This window comes from Homo sapiens, chromosome 7 (genome assembly GCF_000001405.40).
Source record: "Homo sapiens chromosome 7, GRCh38.p14 Primary Assembly".
Classification (NCBI taxonomy): Eukaryota; Metazoa; Chordata; class Mammalia; order Primates; family Hominidae; genus Homo; species Homo sapiens.
The window spans coordinates 144082531-144099318 of NC_000007.14; the positions used below are offsets into that span (position 1 = coordinate 144082531).

A 16788-nucleotide genomic window follows, 5' to 3' on the forward strand; every position below is an offset into this window, starting at 1 on the left:
AGCTTAAGCTCACATCAGATTGATTTGGCAGCTTTAGCTTGCTTGAGAAAGCACTGAATTTTGTGAAAGAAAAAATTCTTTGGCAAATTAATGTTCAGGACTTGGCAAATGTTTCATAAGTTAACTAATGAGTGAAGTGGCGGAAAGAGATTGTGCCAATTTAAAGAGGCACGTGTGTCCAACCATTTCAGTTCTTAGTTTTGTTTTTTAGAGTAGAGTTTGTATTTGTAGTTAGGTAAGAATTGGGACACAAGAAGAAACAAGAGAGGACTCAAATTACTAAAATCAGGAAAGAAAAAGGGGACATTGCCACTTCCTTATGGAAATAAAATGTTTATAAGAAATATGAGCAATTGTATGCCAAAAAATTAGATAATCTAGATGAAATGAACAAATTCTTAGAAAGATACAAAGTATAATACTGACTCAATAGGAAATAAAATGTAAATAGAACTATAAAAGTAAAGAAATTGCATTGATAATTTTAAAACTTTTTAAAAAGAAAATCCCAGAACTGCGTGGCTTCCCTGATGAATCCTACTAAAGGTTTAATGAAAAATTAACACTAAATCCTTCACGAAGCCTTCCAAATAGAGAATGGAATACTTCCCAGTTCATCCTCTGAGGCCAGTATTATATTCATACCAAAACCAAGAAAAAGATATTACAAAAAAGAAAACTAAAGAACAGTACCCCTTTTTATATACATGCCCAAATCCTGAACAATATGTAATACTAGCAAACGAGTTTAAATTGCATATCAAAGGTTTTACATATTATGACCAAACTGGATTCATCCCTAGAATCTGAGGTTGCTTTCATATCCAAATACCAAATCAATAAAGTATACCACATTAATTACATAAATGAGAAAAACAACATGATCATTTTAATAGCCAAATTAAAGCATTTGACAAATCTAATAATAATAAAAATACTCAACAAAATAAAAATGAAGAGTACTTTCTCAACCTGTCAAAAGGCATAGATGAAAAAGCTCACAGCTAACATTGTACTTAATGGTGAAAGATAGAATGCTTTTTCTTAAGATCAGGAACAATACGTGGATGTCCACTCTCACCACTTTGATTCAACATTGTATTGGAGGTGTATAGTGGGACAGTTAGACTTGTCTTGTTCCAATAGCTTGGAACCTTAGCCATGAGATAGCAATACCAGCTTGCCGGTTTTACTTTGCCCCAACAGACAATCCAATGAAGACTGTGAACCAAAATTTTGGGTAAAACAGTCTCCATGGCAGTTTGATTTTTAAAGGCCAAACCTCCCCAGACTCCATAGATCACTGGGGCCAAACAGTACCAAAGGAGGGTGTCATACATTAACCAGGCCCCCTGCTTAGAACTACAGCACAAAAGCCTGGATACATGCAATGCTGTTCCACTTTCCCAGTAGACATTGAACCCCAGGTTCCAAATAATGTTGGGGCCAAGCAGCATTGCAACTGTGAGAGAAAATTCTAACGAGGGCTTAATACTAGACCGCAGAACCTCTGCCAAGAGCGTCCTCTTTGGAGAGTTTGAGGTCTAGAGGATTCCCCGGGGTGTCCTCCTGTGGGGTCCAGTCTTAGAGTTCCAGACCTCTCTGGCCTCAGGTGGGCACTGGTGCCACCTTGCATGCATTCCCTCCAGAACCTACTATGAGCTTTAGAAGAATAGCCATGAACTGTAATGTGAACTGGATGCTGGGTGGGCCTTTATGTTCCTTAGCCAGTTGAGTAGATAAGGGAAGATTTTAGCATAAGAAAAGAATGTTCAAGTTGCTTGAAACACATGCGAGTTTGCTGTGAGCTGGTGCACCACACGTAGGGATCAGGGACCACGCGTGGAAAATATGTATATATATATAAAAGTTTTTCCCCCTATGGGTAGGGTAATTATAACCTCATTCCTAGGCCTTAAGACACTACCAGGGAGTGACCCCAGCCAATTGCCCTCAATTTCCAAGGAGCTACTAGGAAACAGCACTGAAAGACTGAAAAAGAAAGACAGGGAAAAAAATGAAAAAGATCCTGGTCCCTTAAGCGAACCGGCGGCGGCAGTCAGTCTTCTCCACATGGAAAGCCCCTAGTTTCACTGGCCATGGCCAGAAACCTGCAGTTGCTTCCATGTTTAGTTGCTGCCCACCAAGGGTCCTGGTTTGGAAAGAAAAACAGAAAGAGATTCCCCTGTATGGAGCAGAAGGAAAAGAATAAATCCCAAACTTTGGGCTTACCTCTTACTCCTGGGTGGCTCGCCAAAATATGCTAACGGTGGAGGGTGTCCAGGTTCTTGGCATCTTGAACAAAAGAATTGGACAAAATGCACAAACAAAGAAACGACAAAGGGCTTTATTGAAAATGAAAGTATACTCCACAATGTGGGAGCGGGCCTTAGCATCAGGGTTCAAAGGCCCTGTTACAGCGATTTTGTGAGTTTAAATGCCCTCTTCTTGGGGTACACCCCATTTAAATGAAGAGGATGAAGTAAAGTTAGAAAGTCATTTATGGTGTATGCCCTATAGAGAGGATATTTCCTGTTATAGCTGAAGTATGAATCGGCCTTATGTTTCCTCCCTCCAGACCCTATTTTCCTGCCCCACTGATCACCCTCATAATACTGAAGTTTCTTATTAAAGTAGCTACAGAAGATTTTGACGCACTTGATTCTAGTAATTGTAGGGAGATACTTTAGGCCTGAGGGTATCATTAATAAAATAAGTAAGAGAAATAGTTCCTTATAATATCTCTCTTTAAAATCAGAAATGACAGAAAAATCTTGGAAATTACAGGTAGGGATTGATGAGAAATATATTATATTGTAATTCAAATATACTTTTTTAAAGAGAGTGTCCTAGCGGCATCCTCTTTAAATAAGGGTCCAACTGAGATGAAAAATCATGAACTTAAAATTCATTATGGCTCTGTGTTTTTCTCCAAGTCTGTTGTCTACATGACAGACATGTCATTTGTCTGCCATATAATTTTAATCAAACACCGAAATGCTTAGAGTTGAGAGATCTTTATTATTATTATTATTATTTTGAAACAGAGTCTTGCTCTCTAGCCCAGGCTGGAGTGCAGCGGCACGATCTCGGCTCACTGCAACCTCTGCCTCCCGGGTCCTGGTTCAAGCAATTCTCCTGCCTCAGCCTCTTGAGTAGCTGGGATTACAGGCACGTGCCAACATGCCAAGCTAATTTTTGTATTTTTAGTAGAGATGGGGTGTCACCATGTTGGCCAGGCTGGTCTTGAACTCCTGACCTTGTGATCCCCTGCCTTGGCCTCCCAAAGTGCTGGGATTACAAGCATGAGCCACTGTACCCGGCCGAGAGATTTTTTAAAAATTGAATCTAAAGGTAGGATACATATTTGAAAGAAAAGATATGTTTTTTAAATGGAACAAATAGAGAGTGGCTTGAAATTGAAGGAAAGGAAAAAAGCACAGGGGAAATAGAATCTGATCTCTATCAGCTTCCAAATTTAAAAATATACTGCAATGGAAATTTTTGCAATTCACACACAATAAGACTTTCGGCAGACCAAGACTCCTCTCCTTGGAGGAGATACAGTCCTCTGAGGTGCTGCCTTAACAAGCTCCATGGGGGCCACATTTATCACATCATCAAATTTCAACCTTTTTGAAAGGGGGGTATGTAGGCAGGCAAAATTTTGAGATCACAATAAGTCTAGATGCTTGGAGACTGTGCCATGTGACATAACCCATATAAGGTGACTTATCTGTGAAATGTGCATGCCAAGATTCTCCTGGGTAGGAACAACCTTGCCATTCTTCCTGAGTTCTCACTTCTTTGCATAAGCAGGAACACAAGTGCACATGCGTGCACACACACACAAACAGAGGCATACACACCTGCCCCACACCTACACACGCTGACACTCATACGAATAACAAAGCTGGAGGATAGAGAGGAGAGGGGAAGGTGTTACACTGCTCAGTAGGGAAGACATAGGATGGTGGGAAGACGCTTCATATGTTGTTCTCTGGACTCCACAGGTATGTCTCTGGATAATGGGCCTCTTTTAAGTAATCAGAGTATAAAGTCTACATATCTAGAAGCCCCCTGAACATCCCTGGGTCCTGTCCCAGTCCTCAGGATAGAAAGAGATCTGGGACTCATCGTCTACCCAACCTGCTTCAGGTGCAGGCAATTCAGCTCCAACCTTTCCGCATCTCTGTGTTTTCCTGTGCATTCAAGGGCAATTTGAGGCAAATACCAGAAATAGTATCTTCCTTTGTATTAATCATTATTTATACACTGATTAGTGGTTTCCAGGAGAAGGCAGAAGACTGGCAGAAATGTTCAGGTTTAGGATGGAGGAAAAAAAGAGAGAGCGAGCGAGAACACCTTCACGGAGACCCCTTCCTGGCACTATGCCAGGTCTCAGAGTAACATCTGATACTTACAGTGTCAAAACGTTACATAGGTTTCAGACTTGCCTTTGTCCCACCCTTTTCCTATCACTTGTGGGAAGGAGCTGGTAGCAGTAGATCACTCTGGTTCATGGTGTCAAACTGGAAGAGGCATAAGAGTCATATATATATTCCTGCTGCCTCCTTTACAAATGAAGGAGGTGAAGCTCCAGGTGTTACATAGTTTTTCCTGTGATTTCTTCATTTCTTCTACCGAGAATCATCTGCTTCTGCTACATCCTAGGAATACCCTCCAGCCAGCAAAGTAACATTAGGGTTCCTTTTCTTTGTTGCCCTGGAGGGAGATGTCAGGTGCCAGGGGAAAGTCCTAGAGTTATTTGACAAGGATTTCTCTCCTATTTCTTCTAATAGCAGAGAAGCCCATATAGGTGCCAGACAAGCCAGATAAGCTTTTCCTGATTTGTGTACCAAGAATGGTTGTCTTCATCTTATGGAAACCCTTTATCAGATCCTAGAGTGGGATAACTTGACTATGGTGTCACATATTAAATTTTGGGGAAAAGTCCTGGCTAGTGGAAATACGGTAAAATATTCCTACTACAAAAATAACTTCTCTGATTCACATGTATCTGGCAACACATTAAGTGAAAATTTTGCTTTTAAAAAATAAACACAATTGAATGCATTCTTATTCCCTTTACATCCATTTAAAGGGAGAGATGTTTCTCACTTTTGAGAAGGAAGTTTTTTAAAATAATGTGTTTTCTTACAATTTAAAAATGGAAAAGGAAAACAGAATCCTGTCTGTATTTGTAACACTGTAATGACACAATCTTTTCAGTGTGGATTGTTTAAGAAACGTTCGCTACTCTCAAAAACATACCCCTAGCTTGTATTCTGGAGAGTTTGTTTTGATCCTTCCTATTTAGATCTAAAACTGACCTGATGTTTATTTTTGTGCATGGTGTGTGGTAGGGGCCATGTTTTGGTGTTCTTCGACATGGATAGCCAACCGACACAGCATAATATTATTTTTCAAAAACACCAGTGCCAACTTTGTCTTAGATCAAGAGTGTGCATATTCTTCTGGATTTTGTTTTGTTTTGTTTTGAAACAGCGTCTCGCTCTGTCTCCCAGGCTGGAGTGCAGTGGCACGATTTTGGCTCACTGCAACCTCTGCCTCCTGTTCAAGCAATTCTCCTGCCTCAGCCTCCCGAATAGCTGGGACTACAGATGCCCAACACCACGCCCTCCTAATTTTTGTATTTTTAGTAGAGACAGGGTTTTGCCATGTTGGCCAGGCTGGTCTCGAACTCCTGACCTCAAGTGATCCACCCACCTCGGCCTCCCAAAGTGCTGGGATTACAGGTGTGAGCCACCGCGCCCAGCCGTTCTTCTGGATTTTTGAGTTAACCACTCTGTGTCACTGGTATATTTGTTTATCCTTCTTCCACTGCCACATTCACTCAATTGCTGTGGCTTTATAAGTCTGGAGAGTCAATGGAGTAAGTTCTTCCATTCATTCTTCTTTCTCAAGATTTCCTTGACTATTCTGGACCTTCTGCATTTCATATAACATTTAGAGTACAATTATTAATTTTCATTGATAAAAAAACTTGCTGGTATTCTGATTTGAATTTCATTGAAAGTATAGATCAAATTGAATAGGTTTAGAATCTTTACAAAACTTCCAATCTATAAACACACAATTATATTAATGTATACATGCATATATACATATCTCATTAATTTTGTACATTGACCTTGAATCCAGAAGTTTTTATAAATACACAGTAATTTTAATAGTTCATTGATTGAGTTTAAAATTTTTCTACAAACAAAATCATGGTGGTGTAAATAATGACATTTGATATTCTTCATTTTAATTCTTATGCTTCTTACTCTTTCTTTTGGTGTTATTACTGGCTACTTTATTAATCAACATTAAATAGAAGTGGTTAGTACCTTCTTCTTCTTCGAAGAACACCAAAACATGGCCCCTACCACACACCATGCACAAAAATAAACACCAGGTCAGTTTTAGATCTAAATAGGAAGGATCAAAACAAACTCTCCAGAATACAAGAGGAGCACCTTATATTCTAATGCAAGGGGAAAGCTTTTAAACATTCACCGTTAAGTATAATGTTTCTGTTGGTTTTATGGATATTCTTTTTCAGATTTAGGAAAAGTTTTTGTCTATTTGAATCTTGCAGTCTTTTCATAGGGCATAAATTCTGAATTGTCTATTCTTTGTGGATTTTTCTTTTCATTATTATTGTATAGTATCACCTACATGCTTACACATGCTGATAACAAAATTGCTACTACCAGTTTCTACAACATGTTTTCCATTATTTTATTTTTAATCTCGGTGTGGGGGTGTGCGTGTGCATGTGTGTGTGTGTGCGCGTGTGTGCGTGTGCGTCTGCGTCTGTGTGTGTGTGTTAGAGAGAAAAAAGAGAATTTATGTTTAAGGGGTTTAGGTGTGGCACATAAGGATTTTGTAACTCGATTTTCTGTTTTCAACTAAAGTGCCTAACTCTGTCTTTTAATGCCCTATAAGTACATATAATGTGATAATTTATATACACAGACTTATTTATACTTGCTTATTTTGTGTTTTCTATTTGTCAAAAAAATTGCTTTTTTTTCTTTTTTGGCCTGCTGTTGGATTGATAACGTTTTCAAATTTCTTTTATTTACTTTGTAATTTTGGAAACCACATATTTTGTTTATTTTTTATGATTCTCACTAATTGCTAATACACAAGTTTAATACATTATTTTAACAAATCTAAAGTCACTCCTAGTTTCAATTTTCATCAAGAGTCTTAGCATTCTTTATTTTTCACACATCTCCCTCTGTTTACTTATTATTTCCAAAAGATTTAATTTTACCCTTTCAAAACACCAAAATAATCATTTTATAGCCCATTGTTTATAAAATTTACTGAGATATTCTATTTGAAATTATGTGTAAATATTGTTTTCATATATTCGATTCACCTCTGGGTTCACTTTTGTTCTTATTAAGGAATATAGGGCTATATTGAGGATCTATAGGTCCTCAGTGCCCTTCTGATTTGTATATCCAATAATATCTTACTTTGCTCTCATTCATTCAAGAGAGTTACTGCAGATATAAAATTGTGGAATGACAGCTTCTCCCCTTCTTGGCAAAGTAACAACAGTAGCTCATTATCTTCTGAACTCTTCTTGTTGATGAGAAGTCTCTGTCAGTGGAATTGTTGCTCTTATTAGATCATTGCTTTTACCTTTGATAATTTTTAATATTACCTCTTACTACTAGAAAAATTAAATTTTAAGAGAATATAACAAAGGCTTTAAGAGACAAATAAAATTATAGTTTCTATTAGAAATCAAAAAGGTTATGAAACAAAAAGGCACTATAATGAACCAAGAAATATGTGTAGATATGTATTATAGACATATATAAATATATATATTTATATGTATACATACATATGTGTATCAACTTAAAAATCTAAGAAAAACAAAGTTATTAAATTTTTAAAAATTAAGATGAGATAAATTTTAAACCGATGTCAGTCATAGGATAAACTCTGTAGGTTTTATGGATACTCTTTTTCTTCTTTTAACTTTTAAATTCAGGTGTACATGTGCAGGTTTGTTACATAGGTAAATTCATGTCATAGGGTTTGTGGTACAGATTATTTCATCACTCAGGTATTAAGCCTAGTACCCATTAATTGTTTTTCATGATCCTCTCTCTCCTCTCACCTTCTGCCTTCTGATAGGCCCCTGTGCCTGTTGTTTCCCTCTACGTGTCCATGTGTTCTTATCATTAAGCTCCCACATATAAATGAGAATATGTGGTATTTGATTTTCTGATCCTGTTTTCATTTCCTAAGGATAAAGACCTTCAGCTCCATCCATGTTCCTACAAAGGACATGATCTCATTCTTTTTCATGGCTGCATAGTATTCCATGGCGTATATGTACCACATTTTCTTTATCTAGTCTACCAGTTTTTAATATTTAGGTTGATTCCATGTCTTTACTATTACGAATAGTGCTGCAGTAAATGTACATGTTTATGTGTCTTTACAATGGAATGATTTATATTTCTTTGGGTGTATACCCAGCAATGGGATTGCTGAGTCAAATGGTAATTCTGTTTTTAGTTCTTTAAGAAATCTCCAGGGCTGGGTGCGGTGGCTCATGCCTGTAATCCCAGCATTTTGGGAGGCCAAGGCAGGCGGATCATTTGATGTCAGGAGTTCAAGACCATCCTGGTCAACATGGTGAAACCCTGTTTCTACTAAAAATACAAAAATTAGCCAGGTGTGATGGCGTGTGCCTGTAATCCCAGCTACTCAGGAGGCTGAGGCAAGAGAATCGCTTGAACTTGGGAGGCGGAGGTTGCAGTGAGCCAAAATTGTGCCATTGCACTCCAGTCTGGGCAACAGAACAAGACTCCGTGTCTAAATAAATAAATAAGAAAGAAAGAAAAAGAAAAGAAATCTCCAAACTCCTTTCTGCAGTGATTGAATTAGTTTACATTCTCACCAACAGTGTATAAGTGTTCCCTTTTCTCTCTGCAGCCTTGCCAGCATCTGTTATGTTTTGACTTTAACAGTAGCCCTTCTGACTGATGTGAGATGATATCTCATTGTGGTTTTGATTTGCATTTATCTGATGATTAGTGAGGATGAGGATTTTTTCATATGTTTGTTCGCTGCTTGTATGTCTCCTTTTGAAGTGTCTGTTCATACCATTTGCTTACTTTTTAATGGGATTTTTTTTTGTAAATTTGTTTAAGTTCCTTTCAGATGCTGGATATTAGACCTTTGTCAGATGTATAGTTTGCAAATAATTTCTTCCATTCTGTAGATTGTCTATCTACTTTGTTGATAATTTCCTTTACTGTGCAGAACTCTTTAGTTAATTGGATCCCATTTGTCAATTTTTGCTTTTATTGCAATTGCTTTTGGCATCTTCATCATGAAATTTCTGTCCATTTCTATGTCCAGAACAGTACCACCTAGATTTTGTCTTCCAAGGTTTTTATTGCTTTGGGTTTTATATTTAAGTCTTTAATCCATCGTGAGTTGATCTTTGCATATGGTGTAAGGAAGGGGTCCAGTTTCAATCTTCTGCATATGGCTAGCTAGTTCTCCCAGCACCATTTACTGAATAGGGAGTGCTTTCCCCATTGCTTTTTTCAGTCAGCTTTGTTGAAGATCAGATGGTTGTAGGTGTAAGGCCTTATTTCTGGGTTCTCTATTCTCTTCCATTGGTCTATGTGTCTGTTCTTGTACCAGTACTGTGCTGTTTTGGTTACTGTAGCCCTGAAGTATAGTTTGAAGTCAAATAGCATGATGCCTCCAGCTGTGTTCTTTTTGCTTAGGTTTGCCTTGGCTATTTGGGCTCTTTTTTTTTGTTTCATATGAGTTTTAAAGTAGTTTTCTCTAGTTCTGTGAAGAATATCATCGGTAGTTTGATAGGAATGCCATTAGGCAGTATGGCCATTTGAACAATATTGATTCTTTCTATCAATGAGCATGGAATGTTTTTCCATTTATTTGTGTCATCTCTGATATCTTTGAACAGTGTTTTGTAGTTCTCATTGTTGAGATCTTTCACCTCTCTGGTTAGCTGTATTCCTATGTATTTTATTCTTTTTGTGGCAATTGTGAATGGGACTGCATTCCCGATTTGGCTCTTGGCTTGACTGTTGTTGGTGTATAGAAATTCTAGTGATTTTTGTATGTTGATTCTGTAGGTTTTATAGGTACTCTTTTTCAAATTAAGGAATTTTTTTTCTATTTAAATTTTGCAGTCCTTTAGTCTGAGTAGTAAATGAGTAATGAAAAAAATGAATTTTGCAGTTCTTTTGTAGGAAATAAATTCTAAATTTTGTATTCTTTGTGAATTTTGTTTTGAAGAAAATGTCAAGAACATGGTGAAGAGTGAGACAAAAAATATCTTAAAGGGCAGATAAGAGACATACAAGATATGTTGATAGATGATAATATTGATCCAATAGAAATTCCAGAAAGTCTACACACAGTGAAACGTAGAGTATGGAGGAAAGATAGTCATCCACGAAAATTGTCGGTCATTTACATTTATTTAGAATTTATTTTTTATTTATTCTATTTTGTTCTCAGGGTTCATTTTTAATCTAAAGACTCAGGTCATCTTCAGTTATGAAAATTTCAATTTGCTTGAGTATAAATTTACCTTTATTGTATTCATTAAGTGGAATGCATTTTTTTAGTGATTTAAAGACAAATTGTTTTCAATTCTCGAACATTTTTGGTGAAATCTCTTCAAATATTGTTTCTTCCCCATTTTCTTCATTCTTTTGCTTAGGAAACTATCACATCTAAATTTAGCCTCTCAATCATTTATGTCTCTAAGTGGTGCTTTCAAAATGTTATCCCTTTGCCTATCTGTATTAAAATCTGGGTAGATTCCTTCATGACATCTTCCACTACACAACTTCTTCCCTTTAATGGTAGATGTGGACATTATCCTCTTTATTGTTTTTTAAAATTGTGTGTTATATTTCTCTTTTTTTTAATACTTTAAGTTTTAGGGTACATGTGCACAACTTGCAGGTTTGTTACACATGTATACATGTGCAATGTTGGTGTGCTGCACCCATTAACTCGTCATTTACATTAGGTATATCTCCTAATGCTATCCCTCCCCCCACCCCCCACCCCGCAACAGGCCCCAGTGTGTGATGTTCCCCTTCTTGTGTCCATGTGTTCTCATTGCTCATTTCCCACCTATGAGTGAGAACATGCGGTGTTTGGTTTTTTGTCCTTGTGATAGTTTGCTGAGAATGATGGTTTCCAGCTTCATCCATGTCCCTACAAAGGACATGAACTCATCATTTTTTATGGCTGCATAGTATTCCATGGTGTATATGTGCCACATTTTCTTAATCCAGTCTATCATTGTTGGACATTTGGGTTGGTTCCAAGTCTTTGCTATTGTGAATAGTGCCGCAATAAACATACGTGTGCATGTATCATCACTGGCCATCAGAGAAATGCAAATCAAAACCACAATGAGATACTGTTGTTCTATACATTTAATTGCATCTTCAATGAATTTAAGGTTCTAATTATTTACTTTGTTTTCCCTTTTTAGTGTTAAATTTGTGTTTTAAAACAAACATGTTTATTAGGCAAATTTTGAGTGGAGAAGTTTTTGTTTTTATTGTTGTTATTATTATCATCATTATTATTATTTGATTTTCCTATCTTGTTTCTCCCTCTTGTGGTCTTTAGATTTTGTTGTTCTTCACCTGACTCCAAGGGCCCCTTATAAAAATCAGGTCTTATAACACTTTCTCAGGTTCTGTTGATCAAATTATAGAGCCGGCAAGCATATTGACTTCTTGAAAGTCACTTTATCCAGCAAGCCAATAGTTGTTTTAAAACTTCTTTCATGGCCCCAATCCAAGCCCTGAGCTTCAAACAATCACATCAGTACCACATCTCACAACAACTTGCCTTAACCCCATAAAAGCTAAGTTCCAGGTATTACTGTCTGCTTCCAGACTTGGAGCATATTATGTTTCTGATTCATTTCCAGTGTATGAAGGAGTTGTCACATTTTAAACTCTTTAGGGTTTGCATTTTGTATTTTATCTCTCATATCCATGTATTTGAAGTAGAGGAGAAATTGGGAACCCATCTTGAGCAAAAATCTTCACTCTCTTCTTATGTAAATATGTCATCAGTAGAGTAGGTACAATGATAAAATTGTTCAGTGTCACTGAGCTCAACTTCTGGGAGAAAATAAAGATTGGTGAAAACAGTGGTAAATGAAAGAGGACCAGCCTCTATCTATTGCCTCATTAGATTTAGCTGATTATTGCTTTCAATGAATATCATGAAATGACAAATCTTCTATTTTTCTCAAAAGAATCTAGAGACACCAATTTTATCATGAAATCGCCTAGTTTTTAATATTAGTCAATAACTACAGATTTTAAATATCTCTAAAAGCCAAATTTGTAAGTCAACATCATAGGACTTTGGGCTGGATGTACCCATGAAATACTGATTTGTGGCCTCTGGCATAAAATTCATGCTCTATAATGAAATGTTTTTTATTTTCTCCCATTAGCTGTGAAATTTCTGTCTTAAGTACATCACAAGATTTTTCTGTCACGAGAACATGGAAAGCAATCAGACCTGGATCACAGAAGTCATCCTGTTGGGATTCCAGGTGGACCCAGCTCTGGAGTTGTTCCTCTTTGGGTTTTTCTTGCTATTCTACAGCTTAACCCTGATGGGAAATGGGATTATCCTGGGGCTCATCTACTTGGACTCTAGACTGCACACACCCATGTATGTCTTCCTGTCACACCTGGCCATTGTGGACATGTCCTATGCCTCGAGTACTGTCCCTAAGATGCTAGCAAATCTTGTGATGCACAAAAAAGTCATCTCCTTTGCTCCTTGCATACTTCAGACTTTTTTGTATTTGGCGTTTGCTATTACAGAGTGTCTGATTTTGGTGATGATGTGCTATGATCGGTATGTGGCAATCTGTCACCCCTTGCAATACACCCTCATTATGAACTGGAGAGTGTGCACTGTCCTGGCCTCAACTTGCTGGATATTTAGCTTTCTCTTGGCTCTGGTCCATATTACTCTTATTCTGAGGCTGCCTTTTTGTGGCCCACAAAAGATCAACCACTTTTTCTGTCAAATCATGTCCGTATTCAAATTGGCCTGTGCTGACACTAGGCTCAACCAGGTGGTCCTATTTGCGGGTTCTGCGTTCATCTTAGTGGGGCCGCTCTGCCTGGTGCTGGTCTCCTACTTGCACATCCTGGTGGCCATCTTGAGGATCCAGTCTGGGGAGGGCCGCAGAAAGGCCTTCTCTACCTGCTCCTCCCACCTCTGCGTGGTGGGGCTTTTCTTTGGCAGCGCCATTGTCATGTACATGGCCCCCAAGTCAAGCCATTCTCAAGAACGGAGGAAGATCCTTTCCCTGTTTTACAGCCTTTTCAACCCGATCCTGAACCCCCTCATCTACAGCCTTAGGAATGCAGAGGTGAAAGGGGCTCTAAAGAGAGTCCTTTGGAAACAGAGATCAATGTGAAGAATCATTTGAGATATCCTGAGTGTGTAAGCATGGTTCTCATGACCCTGGGTCCTGAAATTTCCTTTTTAATTCTTTAATTTACCACACCCAATACTGTTTATCTTTAGACTTCTTATAAAAAGAGAAACTGGCCTGGCGTGGTGGCTGAAGCCTGTAATCCCAACACTTTGGGAGGCTGACCTGGGCGGATTACCTGAGGTCAGGAGTTCGAGACCAGCCTAACCAACATGGCGAAACACTGTCTCTATTAAAAATACAAAAATTAGCCGGGCGTGCTGGTGGGCGCCTGTAATCCCAGCTCTACTTGGGAGGCTGAGGCAGGAGAATCGTTTGAACCCAGGAGGCGGAGGTTGCACTGAGCCGAGATTGTACCACTGCACTCCAGCCTGGGCGACAGAGCAAGACTCCCTCTCAAAAATAAATAAATAAATAAATAAAGAGAGAGAAACTAATTACTTTTACTATTTAAGGCATTGATACCAAACCTGAGATAAACTTATGAAACAGAAAATCACAATCTAATCCTACTCATGAACATAGATGCAAACCTCTTAAAGAAAATATTAATGAAACAAGTCCATCAGAATGAAGTAAGGATGTATTATAATGAAACTATGTATACCCTTAAAATGCAGCAATAATTTAACATTAAAACAAACAACAAAAATAACTTCCCCACATTAACAAATTAAAGAATACATTTCATATGAACATCTCAGTAGATCCAAGAAAGTGTTTGACAAGATTTAAGATCAATTCTTTATAAGCTAATATCGCAGTAAGACTTTCTAAACAGAATCTACCAAAAACAAAACAAAAATAAAAACAAAGCAGACGTCATGGTTAATGGTGAAATGTTAGCATCTGTCCTTTTCGGGTAAAGAATCAGACACAAAAAAAATCACTTGTTTTTCTTGATTTCACTTTTTACTAGAGATCCTAACCAATACAGTTAGACAAAAAGAACAAATACACCCATGCATGCGCACACACGCACACACGCACACACACACACACTCACACGTGCACACACATTTGAGAAAGAAGAAACAAACTGTAATTACATACAAATGACATTACTGTATATGTAGGAAATTCAAAAGAATTATAAGAAATTTTAAAGTAGCTTGATACAAAATCAATATAAAAATATATTATATTTTTAAAGCAGTAACAAACAATTAAAATGAAACTTGAAAAAACGCTACCATACACAACAGGATTTAATTCTCAAATGCTTAGGAATAATTATAACAAAGATTATACAAAAGCTCTAAAGAGACAATTAAAAATTTATTGAGAGACTATGGTAAATAAATAGATACACAATGTGTGGTATGCCAAGTTCTTGGACTGAAAAACATAATATTACAAAGATTCAATCTCCTTAAATTGATTATTAGATTTAATACAATCCCAATCAATATCGCAGCAGGGTGTGTGGATGTGTGCAGAACTCAACAAACTAATCTTAAAATTCAAGGGACCAAGGCTAGCTCAAACTCTATTAAAAGAGAAAGAGTACAACGTGGGAGGATTTGATCCTTCAGATATCAAAACACACTATATAGTGCTAATAAACAGAACAGTGTGGTATTTATACACAGATAGACCAAAAAACAAACAGAATAGAAAGAAAATTAGTGTATATTTGCTTTTATTAGCACTTGCTATATTAGAGGTGTGGCATGGCATATCACTGGGGAATGAAAAAGCTTTGAAGTAAATGGTGTTGGGACAACCAAGTCTTTATAAAGATATTCAAATCATGCAGAAAATTCAACTTCTGGTGTATTCAAGATTTAAGTGTCAAAGGCAGAACTCTAAAGCTTTTAGAAGATATACAAGAGAAGGATTTTTTAAACAATACACATAATTGCTATTGTGAAATAATATCTGATATTATAAAATCTTTAAGCTGCATTAAATAAAAATATTAGTGTATGTGACTGGGTTGAAATTAAGAACTTATGTTAATCAAAACAGGGCATAAAAAGTGAAAGGACAAGCCACAAAATCTTCTGGAAGACTTTCTGATTTATCAGCTCTCAAGCAGTACATCCCCAAAGACCAGCATATTTCAGAGTCTCATGCATTGTCTTGACTAGGTGACTTTCAATCATATCTCTTCAGTCTGTCTTTTTATGGCATTATTAAGTACTTGAAGTTTTTCCCTTTATATATTTTTTTCACATGTGTGTTGTCAGTTTACAATCAGTAATATACAAGATCGTCGTACACATCAATTTTGTCTTGTCATAGCTGTGTCTCTAGTATCTAGAGCAGAGCTAGGTACAGAGAAGATTCTCAACAATTATCTGTTGACAGACGACCAATAGGTATCCCCAGGAAAGTGTAAGCCTATCCACATTCTTCCTGAAACCAAGAAGCAACCAAGTTAGGGGGAGAGAGATGCATTTTTATGTTCTATTTATTAATAATTTCTATTTTGCACATGAGAAGATCGAGGAACACAGAGGTTGAGTAACTTACCCTGAGTCATTGAGTTAGCATAATCAATGGAAAATATAGAGTTTAAAAAAATAGGTTCTCTGGCTCCAGAGCTGGTATTCTTTTATTGTTAAACAATAGAAATTTATGTCCAAGATCAGGTGCCAAGCATCGTCGAGCTCTAGTGGGGACTTTCTTCTGGCTTTCAGAGAGTGTCTTCCCACTGTGTCTACACATGGCAGAGAGAGAGAGAGCCCATATTCTCAATACAATACTAACTCTATGTACAACTGTAGCTTACACCAATGACCCATTGATTCAAGACAAAAGATAAACATATCTCCCTTCTACCACCAGGAAGGAAAGTTATCAGGATCATTGAAGGAGGACTTTCTTTCTCTCTTTCTTCCTTTCTTTCTTCTTTCTTTCCTTCCTTCCTTCCTTTCTCTTTCTCTTCCTTCCTTCCTTTCTTTCTCTTTCTTTCTTCCTTTCTCTTTCTTTCTTTCTTCTTTCTCTTTTCTTTCTTCCTTTCTTTCTCTTTCTTTCTTTCTTCTTTCTCTTTTCTTTCTTTCTTTCTTCTCTCTTTATTTTCTTTATTTCCTTCCTTCCTCCCTCCCTCTTTTTTTTAATGAAGGAAACATTATTGTCTCCTATGGAATTCTCAACTGTGAATACTCTATTGGAAATAATTATTATTATATTGGACCACTGTCAATGAAGGGAATTAATATTCCCTTCAACCATGAGATCTAGTGATCATTAATTACCATGTGAGATATGGGGGGTGGTAGTTTTATAAACTTAACAAAAAAATTATTTGTCAA

The 16788-nt window shown here is 37.1% G+C and overlaps 1 protein-coding gene across 1 annotated transcript, besides 1 other annotated feature; it reads left to right on the forward strand.

Annotated features, from left to right (window-relative positions):
- Positions 3692-3892: a silencer, noted in NCBI's record as "peak6810 fragment used in MPRA reporter construct". NCBI's record gives its function as "represses an SCP1 promoter by STARR-seq MPRAs in K562 erythroleukemia cells {active_cell/tissue: K562}" and the evidence as "EXISTENCE:reporter gene assay evidence [ECO:0000049][PMID:32103011]".
- Positions 3748-16423, forward strand: OR2A12 (olfactory receptor family 2 subfamily A member 12). Its single transcript, NM_001004135.2, has 2 exons — positions 3748-4013; positions 12527-16423. The coding sequence occupies exon 2, from the start codon at positions 12578-12580 to the stop codon at positions 13508-13510; it is 933 nt and encodes a 310-aa protein (NP_001004135.1). The 5' UTR covers positions 3748-4013; positions 12527-12577; the 3' UTR covers positions 13511-16423.
- The last annotated feature ends 365 nt before the right edge of the window (positions 16424-16788 follow it).